Source organism: Homo sapiens, chromosome X (assembly GCF_000001405.40).
Source record: "Homo sapiens chromosome X, GRCh38.p14 Primary Assembly".
Taxonomy (NCBI): domain Eukaryota; kingdom Metazoa; phylum Chordata; class Mammalia; order Primates; family Hominidae; genus Homo; species Homo sapiens.
The window spans coordinates 52,582,272-52,603,446 of record NC_000023.11 but is presented as its reverse complement, the minus strand read 5'-3'; the positions used below and the strand labels follow the sequence as shown (position 1 = coordinate 52,603,446).

The 21,175-nt window shown below is 42.2% G+C and overlaps 2 pseudogenes across 1 annotated transcript; both read right to left on the bottom strand.

Annotated features, from left to right (window-relative positions):
- Window positions 4,006–5,505, bottom strand: SSX14P (SSX family member 14, pseudogene; annotated as a pseudogene).
- LOC107985659 (X antigen family member 5-like) lies at window positions 14,407–19,458 on the bottom strand (annotated as a pseudogene). Its single transcript, XR_007068241.1, has 4 exons — window positions 19,384–19,458; window positions 18,808–18,913; window positions 17,135–17,259; window positions 14,407–14,519 (listed from the first exon to the last, which is right to left on the bottom strand). The product of XR_007068241.1 is annotated as a X antigen family member 5-like, transcript variant X1 (transcript).
- Between the last annotated feature and the right edge of the window lie 1,717 nt (window positions 19,459–21,175).

The following is a 21,175-nucleotide window of genomic DNA, read 5'->3' as shown; positions in this document are numbered from 1 at the left end:
GACCTGGGGTTTGGGAGCCCACAGCATCCTGGGTAGGGAGGATCCCTTAGATATACAGGACAGGGAGTAGAAAGAGCATGGGAAATCACCCGGGCACGGTGACTCATGCCTGTAAAGCCAGCACTTTGGGAGGCCGAGGTGTGCAGATCACGAAGTCTGGAGCCTGCTGAAAGTCATCTGAGGACGTTCAACTGAAAGAGAATACATCAGAATTTTTCTTTGTTGGTAAAGATTTCCAAACTCTAGAGAGACTTCTATTGCATGAGGGCATTCTGCAGCAGAGGGTTATGAGTCCACTCATTGTTGAGGAGTTATTGGAGATTCGCTTCTGAATTATGTTTAGTCATGGTTGGTTCATTTATCGGTGGCATCAATTCAGAATTTTCCATCTCATGGTTCATCACATTGGACTAAACCCCATCACAGTCTCATCTTATTCCATTACATATGTTTTACTTTTACCCAAATAATTAAATTGATTGGTTGGGAATCTGAACTATATTCACTCAAATGTACAACAACTAAAAATCATTGTACACTTAAAATGGGTGAATACTGTGGTATGTGAATTAAGCTGTTAAATGTGTGATGAACCATGGATGATTTAGTCCAGTGGCTCTGAAATATTTTCAGTATAAAGACACTCCTTTATTGTCAAAAACTTGGCAGATATTCAAGCACTGGATTTTCAGATCTCTTTTATTTTATTTTATTATTATTATACTTTAAGTTTTAGGGTACATGTGCACAATGTGCAGGTTAGTTACATATGTATACACGTGCCATGCTGGTGTGATGCACCCATTAACTCGTCATTTAGCATTAGGTATATCTCCTAAAGCTATCCCTCCCTCTTCCCCCCACCCCACAACAGTCCCCAGAGTGTGATGTTCCCCTTCCTGTGTCCGTGGGTTCTCAATGTTCAATTCCCACCTATGAGTGAGAATATGCGGTGTTTGGTTTTTTGTTCTTGTGATAGTTTACCGAGAATGATGATTTCCAATTTCATCCATGTCCCTACAAAGGACATGAACTCATCATTTTTTATGGCTGCATAGTATTCCATGGTGTATATGTGCCACATTTTCTTAATCCAGTCTATCATTGTTGGACATTTGGGTTGGTTCCAAGTCTTTGCTATTGTGAATAGTGCTGCAATAAACATACTTGTGCATGTGTCTTTATAACAGCATGATTTATAATCCTTTGGGTATATACCCAGTAATGGGATGGGTGGGTCAAATGGTATTTCAAGTTCTAGATCCCTGAGGAATCGCCACACTGACTTCCACAAGGGTTGAACTAGTTTCCAGTCCCACCAACAGTGTAAAAGTGTTCCTATTTCTCCACATCCTCTCCAGCACCTGTTGTTTCCTGACTTTTTAATGATTGCCATTCTAACTGGTGTTAGATGGTATCTCATTGTGGTTTTGATTTGCATTTCTCTGATGGCCAGTGATGGTGAGCATTTTTTCATGTGTTTTTTGGCTGCATAAATGTCTTCTTTTGAGAAGTGTCTGTTCATGTCCTTCACCCATTTTTTGATGGGGTTGTTTGTTTTTTTCTTGTAAATTTGTTTGAGTTCATTGTAGATTCTGGATACTAGCCCTTTGTCAGATGAGTAGGTTGCGAAAATTTTCTCCCATTTTGTAGGTTGCCTGTTCACTCTGATGGTAGTTTCTTTTGCTGTGCAGAAGCTCTTGAGTTTAATTAGATCCCATTTGTCAGTTTTGGCTTTTGTTGCCATTGCTTTTGGTGTTTTAGACATGAAGTCCTTGCCCATGCCTATGTCCTGAATGGTATTGCCTAGGTTTTCTTCTAGGGTTTTTGTGTTTTTAGGTCTAACACGTAAGTCTTTAATCCATCTTGAATTAATTTTTGTATAAGGTGTAAGGAAGGGATCCAGTTTCAGCTTTCTACATATGGCTAGCCAGTTTTCCCAGCACCATTTATTAAATAGGGAATCCTTTCCCCATTTCTTGTTTTTGTCAGTTTGTCAAAGATCAGATAGTTGTAGATATGCGGCGTTATTTCTGAGGGCTCTGTTCTGTTCCATTGATGTATATCTCTGTTTTGGTACCAGTATCATTGATGGGACATATCTCAAAATAATAAGAGCTATCTATGACAAACCCACAGCCAATATCCTACTGAATTGGCAAAAACTAGAAGCATTCCCTTTGAAAACTGGCACAAGACAGGGATGCCCTCTCTCACCACTCCTATTCAATATAGTGTTGGAAGTTCTGGCCAGGGCAATTAGGCAGGAGAAGGAAATAAAGTGTATTCAATTAGGAAAAGAGGAAGTCAAATTGTCCCTGTTTGCAGATGACATGATTGTATATCTAGAAAACCCTATCGTCGCAGCCCAAAATCTCCTTAAGCTGATAAGCAACTTCAGCAAAGTCTCAGGATACAAAATCAATGTGCAAAAATCACAAGCATTCTTATACACCAATAACAGACAAACAGAGAGCCAAATCATGAGTGAACTCCCATTCACAATAGCTTCAAACGGAATAAAATACCTAGGAATCCAACTTACAAGGGACGTGAAGGACCTCTTCAAGGAGAACTACAAACCACTGCTCAGTGAAATAAAAGAGGATACAAACAAATGGAAGAACATTCCATGCTCATGGGTAGGAAGAATCAATATCATGAAAATGGCCATACTGCCCAAGGTAATTTATAGATTCAATGCCATCCCCATCAAGCTACCAATGACTTTCTTCACAGAATTGGAAAAAACTACTTTAAAGTTCATATGGAACCAAAAAAGAGCCCGTATCGCCAAGTCAATCCTAAGCCAAAAGAACAAAGCTGGAGGCATCACGCTACCTGATTTCAGATCTCTTATAGTGATTGTGGGAGTTGAAAGAATCTGGCCTGTTTAGTTGGGGAGTTATCGGTCTATTGGAGACGGTTTGGACATTCTGACCTTGTCGTATATTTGTGTTGTCAGAGCAGAAGAGCCAGTAAACACATATGTCCCCTTTATATTCCTGAAATGTACAAAGATGTCTAGCCAAGAACCTTTCTTTTTTTCACCCCATGTTATCTCTGCTCACTGACAAGTGGGAAAGCTCTCTCTGTGTTGGATGAGGGATCACTCTTTCAAACTCTCTTCCAAGCTCATCACGGAGAATTGGGGTTGTTTGGGAATGAGAAGAGTATTTGGTTTTGATAAGATACAGAAAAACAGCGATCTTTATTACATAATGTGTTCATCACCCTCACTCCTAAGATACCTATCCAATACCTACTTGCTGTTAATGAAACAACCTCTTGAAGTTTTTGGCGGATCCACAGTTTTAACAGTTTCTTTCTTTTTTTGTCACTTTTAACATTTTCTTAACTGTCCTTTGATTCATTAACAGTGCTTAGGAAGAACAACATGTCCTTTAAAAAGAAATATTTCAAACAGAAAAGTATGGGGAATAATATTGAGTCTGGTCGGATCTCAACATTACCCCCAGCTATGTTAGGTCTGATTTATTTATTCAGAATATTAGAAATACTGCAAACAGGCTGAGCGTGGTAGCTCATACTTGTAATCCCAGCACTTTGGGAGGCTGAGGCGGGTGGATCACCTGAGGTCAGGAAGTTTGAGACCAGCCTGGCCTACATGGTGAAACCCCGTCTCTACCAAACATTAAAAAATGAGCTGGGTGTGGGGGCGGGCACCTGTAACCCCAGCTACTCTGGAGGCTGAGACAGGAGAATCACTTGAACCCAGGAGGTGAAAGTCAGAGTGAGCTGAGATTGCCTTATTGCACTCCAGCCTGGGCAACAAGAGTGAAACTCCATCTCAAAAACAAAAGCAAACAAAACACACTATCGACAAGTCACAGCTGAAGCTGTGTGTGCAGCACTCAGCAATCCCTGCTCTCCCTCCCTCCTCCACTTACAGCCAGTCACCTTAATTTGATGGCTTTTTATTCACATTCATGTTTGTATACATTTACCATTTACTTATTATCCATAAAAATATATATTCTTGTTTTGCATGTTTTAAAATTTTATATGAATGGCCTCTGTAGTTAACTTTCTGCATGCAATTTTTTTTTCACTCAGCCCTGATGTGTATGAGGGAACAAATGCCTGAGGCTCTTTCCCAGGTAGCTGAGCTGAAAAGCAGTTGGGCTTGAGGAGACCCTTTCCAGCCCCTTCCCATCTACTCACCCTGATTCCCGCAGTTATGGTCATTATCAAAATCATTCCCCTGGCAGTCTGCGGCCCCTTTGTCATCCATGAAAGTTGGGATGGTAGCCGTGAAACCTAGTAAGAAGCAAAATATTTATTCCTTAAGAGACACGCTTAGGCCTGCCATGGTGGCTCATGTCTGTAGTACCAGCACTTTGGGAGGCTAAGGCTGGAGGATTGCTTGAGGCCATGAATTCAAGGCTGTAGTGAGCTATGATTGCACTACTGTACTCTATCCTAGGTGACAGAGTGAGACTCAGACTCAAAAAAAAAAAAAAAAGACAGAGAGAGAGAGAGAGAGACAAGCCGAGAGAAGGAAGGTAGGGTGGGTGTGTTGGGGGCGGTGGCGGGGTGGGGGAGGCCTGGGATGCCACAGAGACAGTTGGGCTCATCACAACAGACTCCTAAGGGAGAGAAACGTGCAGGATCCAGGTATGAGCTCCACTGTGGCCAGTCCCTGCCCTCAGCCCTGACAGAATACAGAAGAGCAGAGCACCCAGAAGCTGCCTTGCGATTTTTCCCTGCACAAAAGGAAAATGTGGGGTACTTTCTGCAGCCTAAGAAGTAGCCAAAGCAGGAAAAGGGATGCTCATGTGTCCCCAGACTTGTCTGTACCTAGAACTTTCAGTTACCCTGTTTAGTCATGGCCTCATACTTTCTCTTCATATACACATGGATGATTTTCTCTGAGGCTTTCATCTTTTCCCATTCTTTCTCAGAGAAGTATTTGGCAGTATCATTGAAGGCCTAGGAAAAGATAAAAAGGGAATTCTGGCAGTACTCAGCTAGGCATCTCTGCCATTCAGCTGGAGCCGCTTCCTGTGTGCTGGATCTGGGAAGTGGGAATGATAATCTGTCCTGGTTGATGCCATGGCTAACTGACAGAAAATGAGGGACTTTCCCTAGCTTCTTCCCTGCCACACAGTAGGGCTTTAATGCTGCTGGCTGGCTCTCTTCCCACCTTCCAGAATGGACTGAGAGTCACCAAAGATGCAAATCAATTTTTTAGACTGAACGGGGAACCCTAGAGGGAAAGGTTTCTTTGTGGGATGCCACAATGGAGGCCTTGGCCAGCTCCTGCCTGATGACTGTATGTCCTGCTGGGGGTGCCCTAACAAGGGTAAACTCTTGTTGTCCAGGGGTACCACCTGTGCCCTCTGGGATTGCCTGTGTGCCCTGACTAGCCCATCACTCCCTTATTGCTGGAAGGCATTCACATCAGCTTCAGCTTCCTGGCCGGAGTTGTGCTGAGCCAGAAATGCTGGCTTGGGCTGGATAAAAATGGTTAATACAGAATCTTAGGAAGTCCCCTGCCTTTGTCAGATACACCTTCATCATTAATAGGATTTGTATAAGATGGCTATGATGGGAAATCTGATGTGTCAACTTTGCTAGGTCACAATGCATGAGAAATGTTCACTTTGACCAGGGTAGATGTCTCCGTGGAGGGTTTTCTTTACAAGAGAAGTAGCATTCAAATCAGCAGACTTTGGGTAAACCTCCCCAATGTGGGTGGGCCTCAATCAGTCACTTGAAGGCCTTCAGAGAAGAAGACTGGGGTCCTCCTCAAGATGAAGAAATTCTGCCTCCACCCTGCCCTTGGATTTGAGCTCTCATATCACCTCTGCCCAGGCTCTCCAGCCTGACATCCAGCTCTGTGAGATTTGGACTTGCCATTCACAACAGTTGCATGAGCTAGGTCTTCAAACTCAATCTCTCTCTCTCTCTCTCAATCTCTACACACACACACACACACACACACACACACACACACACACACACACACACACACGGGAACCCTAACCAATAGGCTGCTTACATCTGGGATGCTTAAAGGGCGTAACTGAGATTAGTACTGCAGGTTCGTCTCACTCTGCTGCATGGCATTCTCCTCCCACCCTCTGCAGACTGACCTCCATGGGGCTCATCACTGTGACTCAGGGTTTGGTCACCCAACCATGTACAGATCACTACCATTCCACAAGTGTTCCCTGCTCTCCTTCTGTATGTGAGGTCCTCTGTTCCATCCTGAGGATACAGAGATCTATAGGGTATGTTTCCAGCCTTCAGGAAGGCACTGGGAGCCTGGTGAGGGACATACATATGCAACATCAGTTACAGCAACAGGCATAGCCAGTGTGTTCACCAACTCATGAGAGATCACATTACCAACATCTCCCACTTAAGTTTCCCCATCAGCTAACAGCTTATCCTGGAAATGGTCACGTTCATAGGTAAGTTGCATTCCCCTTTTTCTATTTTCTCCAGGAATGGACGCATACAAAGCAAACTGATACCGGAATGTTGTGTCGGAGTAGAATCCAAGAGTGGAATGCGCTGCAGTGATGTGATTTCTCAAGCAGTCAATAAGTCTTTATAAGTTCCCAGATGAAGCAACATACAGGCCCCCCTCGGTTTAAAGGGAGTGACATGTATGGAAAATCCAGTTTAGTGAAGACTCTGGAAAAAGACGTTTGCTTCCCTGTAACACTCAGTCCCCAAATGCCAGTAGCCCCTGCCAATCATTCCAACAACTGCAGCTGCCCTCAAAAATTTCCAAAATGACCCAAAGTGGGCAAAGATATTGGGGCAATAAACCACAAGTTTATGATTGAAACAAAGTATCCTCAAGCTTCTTATTTACATCAAAAAATAGGAATGTTGGAGTTGGTGCAGAGGAAATAGCAGGGTAGCATGAAGAAGGACACAATTTTCCCCAGGAGGGCTTGCAGGCTCCTTCTTCCTCTATCTTGGTTTCTGTGATTAAAAAAAAAAAAAGTGGTTCAGGGATAGGTGAGGTGGCTCATGCCCCTAACTGCAGCACATTGGGAGGTTGAGGCATAAGTATTGCTTGAATCCAGGAGTTTGAGATCAACCTGGGCAACATAAGGATACCCCACCTCTACAAAAAAATAAAAAAATGGCCAGGGGTGGTGGAACCTGTGTGTTTTCCCAGCTACTTGGGAGGCTGAGATGGAAGGATCACTTGAGCCTGGGAGGTCAAGGCTGCAGTGAGCCATGGTTTCTCCACTGCACTCCAGGCAGAGCAACAGACCCTTTCTGAAACAACAATAACAAGTGGTTTGGGGCCAGCTGGGGTGTGTGGTGAAGCTTATCCTGGAAAAGATCCTGTTGGTAGGTAAGATGGATTCCCTTCATTGTTTCCCTCGGGCATGCAGAGCTACAAAGCAAACTGATACTGGCATGTTGTGTCAGAGTGGGATCCAAGAATGGAATGGCCTGAAGTGATGTGATCTTCCAATGGAGTCAGTAAGTCTTTCATAACTTCCCAGATGAAGCAACATACCAGCCTCCCTCAGTTTACAGTGAAGTGACATGTATGGAAAATCCGGTTTATTGAAGACTCTGGCAAAAGATGTTTGCCTCCCTGCGACACTGAGTCCCCAAATGCCAGTAGCCCCTACCAATCATTCCAACAACCACAGCTGCACTTGGAAATGTCGAAAATATCCCAAAGTAGGCGATGATATTCTGGCTATTAACCACAAGTTTATGATTGAAAAGAAGTATAGTCACACTTCTTATTTACATCAAAAGAATAGAAATATTGTGGTCAGTACAAAGGAAATAACACGGCATTAAGGAGGAGGCCTTAAGGAGGAGGCATTAAGGAGGAGGCATTAAGGAGGAGGAGACAAAGTGTCTTTGCACACTGTTGATTGTTTATTTTGCTGTGCAGAAGTTTTTGAGTTTGAGATAATTTTATTTGTTTACTTTTGTTGTTGTTCCCTGTGCTTTTAGAATCATATCCCAAAAAAATCATTGCCCAGACCAATGTCATGGAGCTTCTTCCCTATGTTTTCTTCTAGTAATTTCATAGATTCGGGTCTTACATTATAAGGTTTTAATTTACTTTAAGTTGACTTTTTTATATGGTGAGAGATGAGGGTTGAATTTCATTCCTCTGCATGTGGATATACCATTTTGCCATTACCATTTATTGAAGGCTGTCCGTCCCTCACTGTGTGTGCTTGACACCTTTGTCAAATTCATTTGATTATAAGTGCATGGATTTATTTCTGGGCTCTGCATTTTTTTCCCTCGGTCTATGTGTTTATTTGGGGGATGCCATTGTACTTTAGTTGTCTTTCTGGATTTACATTACTCTATTTTGTTGTACTTGCTTCTCTCTGTCAGTTTTCATGTATTCCTTGGCTTATCTCTTTATTCTTTCCTTTGGAGAATTGATTAAACATTATAGGTTTATGTTACGTGATGAACATAGATGCAAAAATCCTCAATAAAATACTAGGAAACTGAATCCAACAGCATATCAAAAAAACAATCCACTATGATCAAGTGGGTTTCATACCGGGAATGCAGGGATGGTTTAACATACGTAAGTCAATAAATGTGATACACCACATAAACAGAATTAGAAACAAAAGTCACATGATCATCTCAACAGATGCAGAAAGTGCATTTGACAAAATCCGGCATCGCTTTATGATTAAATCCCTCAGCAAAATCGGCATAGAAGGCACATACCTTAAGGATGTATTCTTCCTTCCCTTTGGCCACTACATTCATTGTTTTTTATTCCCATGGCTCCCTTCCCTGTGTTTCTCCTTTGCACTTCAGCTGCTCTTCTGTTTAAGGATCTCTCCACCCCACCACAGTGTGATAGCCCCCACGGAAAGTACCACGTGTTGTTGGTTGGTCTTCCAATTTCCAGCACCCCAGATATTTCCTGTAACATGGCAGGCCATCAGTGCATGTCTACTGAATTGAATAATCTATCTTCTGTAATGATCCTAACAGAAAAGCATCGCCTCTGTTTAGGAGACATTATTGTAGATGATATGTTTCCAGGCACCTTACATATGATCCTTGATTTTGTGCTGGACACTCTAGGGTAATGCATCTGCCACGGTGCCCTGGAGCTCTAACAGGTCACCACATAGGGCACATATGCAAAACTAGATTCCAGTCTAACCTGAGTCTTGGCAGAATACATTGAATGCCCTTGGAGCAAGGGGAGATAGGAAGCATGGTGGGGGAACTGCTACAGGTTATTTCTCACCAGTTCCCTATCTGGTTGGAGGCTGAAACAAGGCCATTCTTCATCCATCTCCCTAGTTTCAGGTAAGCACAGACCTTTCCTCATCTTAGGGTACAGTTATGGAGTATAAAAGTGCCCACTGCCTTAAGGTACGGCTGTGGGCTCCTCACAGGTGGAGAGACCAACCATCTTTGCTGTCACTGAGAACCCCCAATTCACTGTCATTCTATGGGACTAGGAACATGGTGCCAAAGCAATGCTGATCTTGCTTTTGCTGTGTCTGCAAGCAATCAACCACTTGGATCCATTTGGGCTCATGATCTCCTTATTGGCCAAATCTATGAATATGTGACAAGGTAAACTAATAACTGCAGTGGTGATCCTTGTGGCCCTGTTAGCCACGACAGGGCTGCTTACGGATGGCTTGAGCACTTGACACACTACTGTATTGAGTTGTGTGGTGCTGAATGGCCAGAATATTGACTTATTCTTCTTGGCATCACACATAGCAAACAGGTTTTCGGTACATAGTACTGACTTGGGGTTGGCTTTATCACACCTCGGTTATTTTCCAATCAACTTCAGAATCAATAACATGTCTGACACCAGCTACACTGCTATTTCACTAATACGTTTATTTAAATCAAATAATTTTCTGAAGTCAAATGCAGATTAAAAGTAACTTGACATTCCAAATTGAAATTCAAAAGCACTTATCACATACTAGAGATGCAGTTATAAGGAAAAATGAAATGAAAATGTTTGAAATCTAAAGGGAAAAAGGAAATCTAAGTAGTAATCCAAATTTATCTGCAATGTAATGCCTACTTGGTATGTTATTTCCTTCATTCTTCATAGCAAGTATTTAGTGTAAATATTGTAATTTCTACTTTGGAAGAAGGGAAACAGTCCCAAAGGATGTAAGCATATTGCCCACCATCTCAAGGCCAGTATGTGAGAGGCAGGATGGAAACCCATGACTATTTCATGCCATAACCTGTAAAGAGAGAGTGTAGGTAGGACCCAAGTCATCTTGCTTCAGCAAGTTGCCCTGGTTGCTTGCCCCTTTCTTCTACCTAGGCCCTAATTCTTTCATCCAGTTCTGTAGCTTAGGGACTTCTTACATGTTTTGTGGCAAATGGGATACCCTAAGAAAGGAAGCAGATAAGGAGACACATAGGGTGAGGTCTGGGGAAAGGGGCAGGGAGCTTCCATGCCCTCTACAGGTATGCTTCCTTCCATGTGTTCATCTAGGCTGGAGCCTCTCTGAATCCTGTCCTTTTGGGTTTTCATGGAGGTTTTCATTTTGTAGGCGTGATTGATTAAACCGTTGGCCCGCCACAGGTGGTCAACTTAACCTTCAGCCCCTCTCCCTTCCCTGATGTTTGGGGGTGAGGCTGAAAGTCCCAACCCTCTTATTCCCCAGCCTAGAGCTACTTAGGTGCTGCCAGCCATCAGTCAACTCACTAGCATACAAAAAGACACCACTTCGTAGAGATCCTAAAAATTGTAGGAGTTCTATACCAGGAAGCATGGTCTAGGACCAAATATGTATTTCATAATATCATAACTGTGCATACCAGCTGAGTCAGAATACAAAATTTCGAAAATTATACTAAATTTTTTAAAAAATGGAGTCTATAGTTAAAAAAAAATTAAGCTTGTAACTGGATTTTCCAAACATGTCACTCCCTGTAAACTGAGGAATGCTTGTATGTTGCTTCATCTGGGAACTTATAAAGACTTATTGACTGCTTCAGAAATCATACCACTACAGGGCATTCCATTCTTGCATTCCAATTTGACACAACATTTCAGTATCAGTTTGCTTTGAATCTGTGGATTCCTGTGGAAAACAGAATAAGGGGAGTCTAACTTAGCTACCAAAACTATCGTTTCCAAGATAAGCTGTTAGTTGATGGGGAAAATCAAGTGGGCGATGTTGGTAGTGTGATCTCTCGTGATTTGGTGAACACACCGGTTATGCCCATTGCTGTTACTGCACTGAAGTTCCCTTCGCAGGTGTATCTCCCTCACCAGGCTCCCAGGTCCTTCCTGGAAGTTTGGAAACATACCCAGTAGATCTGTGTGTCCTCAGGATAGAACAGAAGAACTCACAGGCAGAAGGAGGGCAGGGAACACCTGTGGAATTGTAGTGATCTCTACATGGTTGGATAACCAAACCCAGACTCACAGTGATAAGCCATTTGGATGTCAGTCTGCAGAGGATGTGAGGGGAATGCCACAGGCCTCTGCCTTAGGAGCCATGCAGCAGAGTGAGACCAACCTGCAGTAGTGATCTCAGTTATGCCCCTTAAGGGTCCCAGATGTAAGCAGCCTATTGGTTAGAGTTACTCTGTGTTCATGTGAGTGTGTGTGTGTGTGTTTGCATGCGTGTAGAGAGACAGACAGAGAGAGAGACATTGATTTTGAGGAGAGACATTGATTTTGAGGTACTGGGTCATGCAACTATGTGGGCTGGCAAGTCCAAATCTTGCAGAGCAGGATGTCAGGCTGCAGACCTGGGGAAGAGCTGATATGAGAGCTCAAATCCAAGAGCAGTGTGGAGGCAGAAATTCTTCATCTTGAAAGGACCCCAGTCTTTTTCTCTGAAGGCCTTCAAGTGACTGGATGAGGCCCACCGACATTATAGAGGGCAATTAGGTATACCCAAAGTCTGCCAATGTACATGTTAGTTCTTATGTGGAGAAAACTTTTCACAGAGACATCTACCATGGTCAAAGTGAACATTTTTTGTGCTTTATGGCATAACACAGTTGACACATCAGATTTCCCATAATAGCCGTCTTATACAAATCCTATTAATGATGAAGGTCTATCTTAGAAAGGCAGGGGACCTCCTTCCTAAGATTCTGTGTTAACCATTTTTGTCCAGCGTGAGCCACCATTTCAGGCTCAGCACAACTCTGGCCAGGAAGATGAAGCTGATGTGAATGCCTTCCAGGGATAAGGCAGTGATGGATAGTGAGTGCACACACGTAAAAACAATCCCAGAGGGCATAGGTGGTACTCCTGGGCACCAAGAATCTACTCTTGTTAGGGCACCCCCAGCAGGTCATACATTCATCAGGCAGGAGCTGGCCAAGGCCTCCAGTGTGGCCTCCCACTGAGGGACCTTTCCCTTTAGGGTTCCTCTTCCAGTCCAAACAATTCATTTGGGTCTTTGATTTAGGCAAACTGTTAGAAGGCAGTAAGTTCAGGGTACTCATTGACACCAGTTTCTCCTCTTCACAAGCGTGGATGACATCACTAAGTGTTCTGTGTGGGATGTTTGGGAGCTGGGTCACCCCTGCTGTCCCATAGTCGCAGTTCTGTCAGGGGTGATCTTGGGTTCAGGATTCAGTGTGGTTTCCAATTTGGCCTTAGGGTATGACTGTGGGCTACTCCCAGGCAGAGAGACCCAACATCTATGCTATCACTGAGTATCTCTGATTCAGTGTGGTATTGCGGGGCTAGGGACACAGTGCTGAGACAGTGTCGATCTGCATTAGCTGCGTCTGCAAGTGTTCAACCACTTGGATCAATTTGAGTTCATTGTCTTTTTACCCAGCAAATCTATGAATATATGACAAGCCAAAAGCAACTGCACTGGTGATCCTTGTGGCCCCATTAGCCACCACAGGGCTGCTTAGGGACTGCTTGAGCAACTGACACACTATTGTTTTGAGTTATGTGGTGTTACCTGACCAGAATATTGACTTATTCTTCATGGCATCACACACAACAAAGAAATTTTTTGGCCCAAACTGCTGCCATAGGGTTGGCCTTGTCACACCTCAGTTATTTACAAATCAGCTTCAGAATCAATGTCATGTCTGATACCAGCTACATTGCTATTTTATTTACATATTTAAATAAAATATGCTTGTGAAGTCAAATGCATTTAAGAAGGTAGATTGATATTCCTACTTGAAATTCCAAAGCATCGGTAACATACTAGAGATGTAATTATAATGCAAAATGAAAGAACATTATTTAAAATTTTAAAGGGATTAAGGAAATATAACTAATAAATTTATGTGCTATGTAATACCTGCTTCCTATGTTATTTCATTTATTCTTCATAGCAACTGTTTAGTGTAAATATTGTAATTTCAACTTCAGAAATGGGTAAACAGTCCCACAGGATGTGTCTTGCCCACCATGTCAAGGCCAGTGTGTGAGAAGCAGGATAGAAACCCATGGCTATCATAACTTATAAGAGACAGTGTAGGTAGGACCGAAGTAATTTTGCTTCAGGAAGTTGCCCTAGTTGCTTTCCCCTTTCTTCTACCTAGGCCCTAATTCTTTCATCCAGCTATATGGCCTAGGGAATGCTCACATATTTTGTGGCAAATAGGATACCCTAACAAAGGGTGCATATAAAGACCTACATAGGGGAAGGAATGAAGGAAGGGGAAGGGAGCTTCCATGCCCTCTATGGGCATGCTACCCTCCATGTGTTCAGCTAGCCTAAAGCTCTCTGAACCCTATACTTTGGGTTTTGACGGAGGTTTTCATTATATAGGCATAATTGATTAACCCGTTGGCCAACCATTGGCAATCAACTTAACCTTCAGCCCCTCTCCCTGCCCTGAATGTTGGGGATGGGGCTGAAAGTCCCAATGCTCTAATCCCCCATCCTAGAGCTACCTAGGAACTGCTAGCCTTCAGGCAACTCACTGGCATCACTATGTGGAGATTCTAAATATTGTAGGAGTTGTATATCAGTAAGTGGGGTGTGGGACCAAATATATATTTCACAATACCACACCTGTGGATACCAGATCAATGAGAATGCAAAGTTTGAAAAATTGTACTATTTTTTATTCAAACAGAGTCTCAGTCACCCAGGCTGGAGTTGTAGTGGCATGAACGTGACTACCTGCATCCTCGACCTGCTGGGCTCCAGGGATCCTCCCACCTCAGCCTCCAGAGTAGCTGGGACTACAGCTACATCCATACATGAATACATTCATGCATTCATTCATTTATTTTTGCAGAGAGGGTATTTTCCCATGTTGCCCAGGCACATCTCAGTCTCCCAAGCTCAAGCAATCCTGCTGCCTCAGCTTCCCAAAGGGCTGGGATTACAGGTGTGAGCCACTGCACCCAGCCACAATTTTCATTAGCGTCTAATATGTGAGAATAAATGAACAAAAGATGTGCAAGACTTCTTTGGAGAAAGCTGTGAAGCTTTATTGAGATTTTTTTAAAGCCAAATATCTCAGAAAAATTCAGCTTGCATTCTTTCAGCTTGTTTTCGTTTAAACCTGTGGTTGCCCTTTACCTGCAACAAAAATATAACAGGAGGGAACATTACTAGCAGAACTGTATTCAGATGAAATGAAAGGTATACAAAGGACACCAAAGTTTTAGTTTTATACAGTGGACTAAAACCAGAAGCCTAAAAGTCACCCTATGGCTAGCATTCAACTAGATCTCTGTAGAGACTTTGAAGATAGACTTCCAAGCATATACATTAGCAACATGTTTTAAACACAACCTGCTTTTGGTGCTAGAAGGAAACCAAAAGACAGTCCGAGGTCAGAATACATTAAATCCAGTGAACCTATTAAAAGAGGTTAAATTAGATAGTAAACATTGTGTAGGGTTTTACTCAAAATAAAACCAGAACACAAAAAACCTAAGAAACAGAAGGAATTTGTGAAAAATGTATAATTTAATGTTTTGGCTTGAAACTATGGTCTGGATATCCAATGGGCTCCTGCAAATAGTCAGAAAACTATGTTTTGAGAAAATAGTTAATGTTACATTAGGAAATACATAAGTGAAATGAATAGAAAGGCCAGTATTGCATTTGTTTTTTCTCTATTATGCAGAAGTGTAAAAATATTGCTTTGGGCTAGTTTACTCTTCTCTCTCTCTCTCTCTCTCTCTCTCTGTGTATGTGTGTGTGTGTGTGTGTGTTTTAACATACAGTAACCATTTGCATCTAGTTTTCACCTGCAGACCTCATGTTAATATGAATAATGATAGTTTTTTCACCAGAAAGTATTCCTCTTTGTATAATTAATTAAATGGTCATACAAGTTTTAAGCTGTCACTGTCATTATTGATATTACACTATGAAAGAGGTACGCATCGTAAACAGTGTGGCAAAAAAAAGAAATGGAGAGGGAAATGAAAAAGGAGAGAAAGACAACTGGGAAAGCTAAATATTTGCTTCTAAAAGTAATTGTTGTGAGGGACAACTGCCAAATTTCACAAGCTCATACAGAGTCTTTGTGATGTTCAGATATTCAGGTATTAAAAGGATAGATTGAATAATGTAGGCATTCCTAGCATGCCAAATATTTCATCCATACTCTGAAAATATTAGTATTCAAGAGTGTATTCACTTTCAATTATGCCCTACACTCAATATCTGTGTCTTGCTCATATTCCGTGCTGTGCTTTATCCATTTTCTTCAAGATTGTGTAAACTACTAGATGCTCTCTTCACAGCTATTTCTCAAAAGAACAATCTATTAAATTTATTAATTTTAGATTAGTTTTCCTTTTGTTAATGATTTGTACCTTTTATTTACTGCCTGCTTCCTTCTTCCTTAAGTTCATTCTGTGACTCTTTTATAATTTTTTTATTTCTTGGTATTATTTTCTTGTATCGTGTAATTTGCTATCTATTTTAATAAGATGTGCATTTAAGGCTATGACTCTCTGAAGAATTCAACTGATGCCTTTTCAATAGGCTCCTGAAAATCATCTGAAAAACTATCTTTTAATATAAATAGTCGAATGGAAGGGTTCTGCAGTGTAGAGTAAAAACATTTAGGTAATTTCTCCCTTGAACATGCAATGCTTCCTTTAAATTCAGAAGTTCTTCTAATTAAGTCAGCAATTTTGAAAATGTGTGTAAAAGAGATTTATGTCTACTACACAGGAATTGGTACATTACAGTCTTTGAACTTTACATCGTATCATCTGATGACTGAAGGCAGAAACCATGGTTAGAGGTGATCCTATCATATGTGTCTTCAATCTAATTACACACAGTAGCTCATGAAGGGACTGGAGGGCAGGGATCATGCTTAGCACAGGCATCTTACACCCACCTTGAGCATCACTGACCTACATGCATGCTCCCTACTTATCGGCCACAGAAACCTGACTGTCTCTTGCCATGTTATTATTCAGTCATTCGAGCCTTCACTGCGGGAAAGATTTAAAATGCAATCATTGTTTAAGAGCCTGAGAATTCAGAATCTGACAAAATCCAAGAACACTCATGAAAGTCTCCATTCACAAAAACAAAGATCAAGCAGAGTCCCCACTCATTTTCTTAGGAGCAATGAAATCTCAACTCAGATATTACAATTGAACTGAAGATGATTGTTACGAAAAACAAATCATGAAAATCAGAGTATCTTTGTTTTCTCTCCAACAGAACCAGAGCATGCAGAAATCAGCATTGAAATGGATTTTAGTCTATCTGATGTGCATTCACTACTTTCAATAAAAGCAAAAATGGGTGTAGGATTTATGTGATTTGTCCAGAATCTCACAAATTATGTTAGAGCTGGTACTAGGATCTCCTTCAGGGATCAGCATATTTCATATAAGATGGCATTACAAATGTATTATGCATTCATGAAAAGCAGAAATTAGAAAATAATATGAAAATTGTTAGCTGTTGGATATACTCAGAAGTAAGAAAATGCTTTCCTATTTGATGATTCAATATGGCTTTGAGCCTGTTTGTTTCTGTATCTGATAGTGTTTCAGTCTTGCAGTCAGGCATGTTGGGTCTGAACTACCTTCCAAGAAAGGTCTGCATTTGAACTCTGTTTAAAGAGGCAGTGATGTTCTCTCTTTTTATTATCAAAAATATAATTTTATGGAAAACAGAAAGCATATAATTCTGAATCTTAATGGATAACATACCTCCTTATGAGATTTTAAATTGCTCTGATTTTGGCAGAATCTTCCCCTGGACATCAGGACCATCTCTGCCTTTACCCCAGTCTTTGACTGAGACAGCTCCTGGAAATCAGCTGCCAGGTCAGGCGCTGAAAAACACAAAGGTTATTAATTAAAGCAGGCAAAGGAGATAACTAAGGAAATGATAATATTCTTTTCCTCAGTGTTACGCAATAAAAGCCTGTAGGCAACTGTGGTTATAAATGTGATGCAAAGATGCCACGCCTTTGTTTTCCTGTATTATGATACCTTATCTTAAATGACAATCTGAGGATAAATCACACCACACCTCTGTTTCCTATACTTTAACCTTGTGTATTATAAACAGTGAGTATCTGCTATCTGGGAATTCTGAAGACTGCCCCATGGAAAGCAATTAAATCATACCTTAAATGTAATTTTCTGAAGAATTAGATCAATGTATTGGTGGCCCTATGACAAATCTTACACTCCTGACACTCCTCCCGTGTTGAGGTACCTTGAAAATGTTGGAGTTAAACTTAATTAAAGCGATGCTTAGGTCCAAAGGCCCTCTATGTGACTTTCCATACATGATTGCCATTAAGAAACAGTACAGAATATAATAGCAAAATCACTGTCTTCCAGTGAGAGTACTGGAACTGAAGTGCAAAGAAATTAATGGGCATTGTTGACTCATATTCTGGAAATCCCTCAACAGTGAATTGCTAAAATAATACATGGCCCAAATTCGGTCTATGTTTAGTTTTAAAATGTTATCCATTGAGGAAATTATTTCTGTTTCATGATAATCTTATCGTACTTTGGGGTTTCTAATTACAAAAGTATTTAAACAACTTTTAAAAGCCCTTTCAAAATCCTACTAATATAGCTACCTGTATGCTAGTGTCCTGAATTAGCCAGCTTTTACCAAACATACTGTCAAAAATACAGAGGAAAACGCAACAGTGGCTTTCATTCACTGAGCTCTTTTCTGGGGTTGCTATCCTGCTTCACTGAACTGTGTTTTGTCCTGAGCCAATATTGAAGTATCTTATAGTACAGAGACATCCGAGTATTAAACATTCGTAAGCAAAATCATTCATATTTTCTAACAACATAGATGGTAGAAAGAATGCAAACCTTGGAACAAAATATGAATTCCTTCTCCATGAGTCAAGTGGTCTTGGAAAACCTCTATCTCCAAGTCTCAGGTTTCTTATTGATAAAATGGGGCTAACATCCCTTTGCAAATGGTCTTTATTCAGGATGTTAAAAGGTAGGGTGACTTGACACTCCACATGTTATTAAAGGGTGCTTACAACACTGTGGACAGCATGGCTGAGGAGGTCACACTGCAACATCCTAAGAAGATCAAATTAAATGAGTGAAATAATGTACATTTTTATACAACCAATTAAACAGTTTCATCTGATTTAGGAAGAACTGTATTTTCAAGCCTACAAAATGCATCTCGAAGAAAAAGAGAAGAATCATCATATCCAGGGACTGCAAGAAGCTGCAAACTATGCCTGTCACGTTTCCAGCCAACTCTCAGCAAATGTTTTAGATCCTTTCCTAATGTTTTCTTTCCTCCTGTTACTGGTCATGGCATAGGGCATGATGCACATACAGGCCTCCTTCCCCCCATAGACATTCTTTCTTTCCCTTCCCACCACCTCGAATCTCAGCTGCACCCTGATCTTCTTCTGTCTTCTGACCAGGTGTACCATTCTGACTTTCAGCTTGTGGTTCCTCTTGTTAAGGCTCTGGCACACTGGGCTCCTGGGACGAGGTGTGTGTGTGTGTGTGTCTGTGTGTGTGCAAAGTTTTATCAATACATGTCAATAATATGAATATACAGATTACATAGGTACTTCTGATCATAAGCATGTCGAAAGACATGCTCCAACACTATCCCCACACTATTCCACATACTTATTCTTCATAAAGTTACTCTTCCCATAGAGAGGTTACTCTAAGGCAGTTATCCTCAATGGCTTTGGAAGCCATTTTAATTTACCTTGGATTGAATGTATGTAATGTGCTATGGATAAGCATGAGGAAGGAATCATCAGCAAAATCCACGCAAAACCAGTACTTAGTCTTCTTGGGTTAGTCTTTCCTTCATGAGATGCCACAATCATTTTTTATCAACATGGGAGGCCTTTATCAGTGTATCTATACGAGTCCAACAACACTATCAGAAAAATAACTTTCTGCAAATAGAAAACATCGAATGGTAAGACATTCACAAGCAGAGGCCCAATCGGCTGAACAGGCTGTAAATATTGTCTTGATCTACATGTTAATCTTCCTCGCCAACTCATATTTCACTCTGCAAACAGAATACTGTGGGAAAATGCATGTAAGAGGATACTATATTTGAGCATTTCCATGGCTAAATGTTAACTTGTTATTTTTTAAAAAGTTGGTAATATATTGAAAAGTATGACACAGGGCATGTATCAATGTGCATGCCTTCTGAATCGAATGCTTGCACAGCCACTTAATTTGATCAAGCTAGCTGAGCAATGTCTTAATGCTCATGGCAAGACACATGGTATTTCCGATGAGGTTTAGTTTCACAGCTGGACTCTCCATCATGACGCATTTAGGAAAATACACCTTGAGAATTAAAATTAAACTGACCATGGCTTTTGTCACACACCCAGTTGCTAGGCCCATTTCCCCCTGAAAATCAAGTTTTGTTGGAACGCAGAGCCCCACCCATTGGAACTTCCAAGATGGAGTTGAGAAGTTGCCACACAGCGCTGGGTGGTCCTCACTGGTTGGGCACCTCTGCAGGGCACTATACACACCTTGTAGCCAAGGTCACCACCCCGAAGAGTTCCCACTTTCCAGGCCCCTTCCTTACCGCCCAAGCCGTCCCAGCCCTGATCCCCCTTGAGGAGTCTGGAATCTGTCCTCTGTTGGGGTTTTCAGGCGTTTCTGGAACTCGGATACCACCAACAGCACCCCAGTATCACCCTGGCTTCACCTACACCACCCCCCAACCCACTCTGAGGCCCTCCTTCTCCCTTTGTTCAGACTCCAACAAGACAAGAAGGCCCATAGTCGCCAGGCGGCATGAAAAGGATGGTGACCTCAAAGCCCTTCTCCTTTGGAGTCACCGACCACGATGCCCGAGCCTCCGAAAGCCCACTGGCTCCTCCTCACCCTCATTCACACTTCAACTCCCAGTTGAATTGGCCTGTGGACCTACCGGCTGCGTCTCAGTAGTGGAGAAAGAATCCAGACCTCAGGGTCCCGAGCTGCAGGCTGACAACCCCGTAGCGTTCACCATATGGGCAAAGGGGCAGATGGAAAGATGCCCAGTGAACATGTGCACTGAGGTGGGCACCCGAGGAGCATGCACAGTGAGGTCCTCTCTTGCCTTAAGGGCTGCACTGCCCTTCCTCCTCCGGTCCTGCCCTGTCCTCTGCCCCTTCCAAGGTCCCCACTAAGGACTTTGGAATCCATCTTCTCTGTGGTTTTTTATGCCTTCGAGACTGAAATACCTCAGATAATGTCATGCTTCAACTAATTCCATGTTTACTTGGCCTTCCTCCCCTCTACGGCCCTCCTTCCTCCCTTGCCCGGGACCCCACAACAGCAAGGCCATGGCGGTGTTGCTGCCTTTTAGTTGAAGGATGACGACCTCTATGAGGCCATGGAACAAGTGGTCCAACCCATGGGAAGCCCTCTGCTTTCCCTCACACTCACTGACACTTCAACTTCTGGGAGGACTGATCTGCAGACCTACCTGCTATGTCACAGTTGGCAAGAAAGAGTCACGACGTTTCCTTCCACAGCTCTGCAGGGACAGAAGGCAGACAGCAAGGTGCATGGGCAGCGGGAACTTACATAGCAAGGGGCATGCCCATTGAGTCAGGCACTTGCAGGACTTGCAGGGTGGGCCATGGTTTTCCTGCTGTTCTCATACCCGCATCCACGGGGTGCTTATAGTAGAAAGAAGGGGACTAGGCTGGGTGCAGTGGCTCATGCCTGAAATCCCAGCACGTTGGGAGGCCGAGGTGGGTAGGC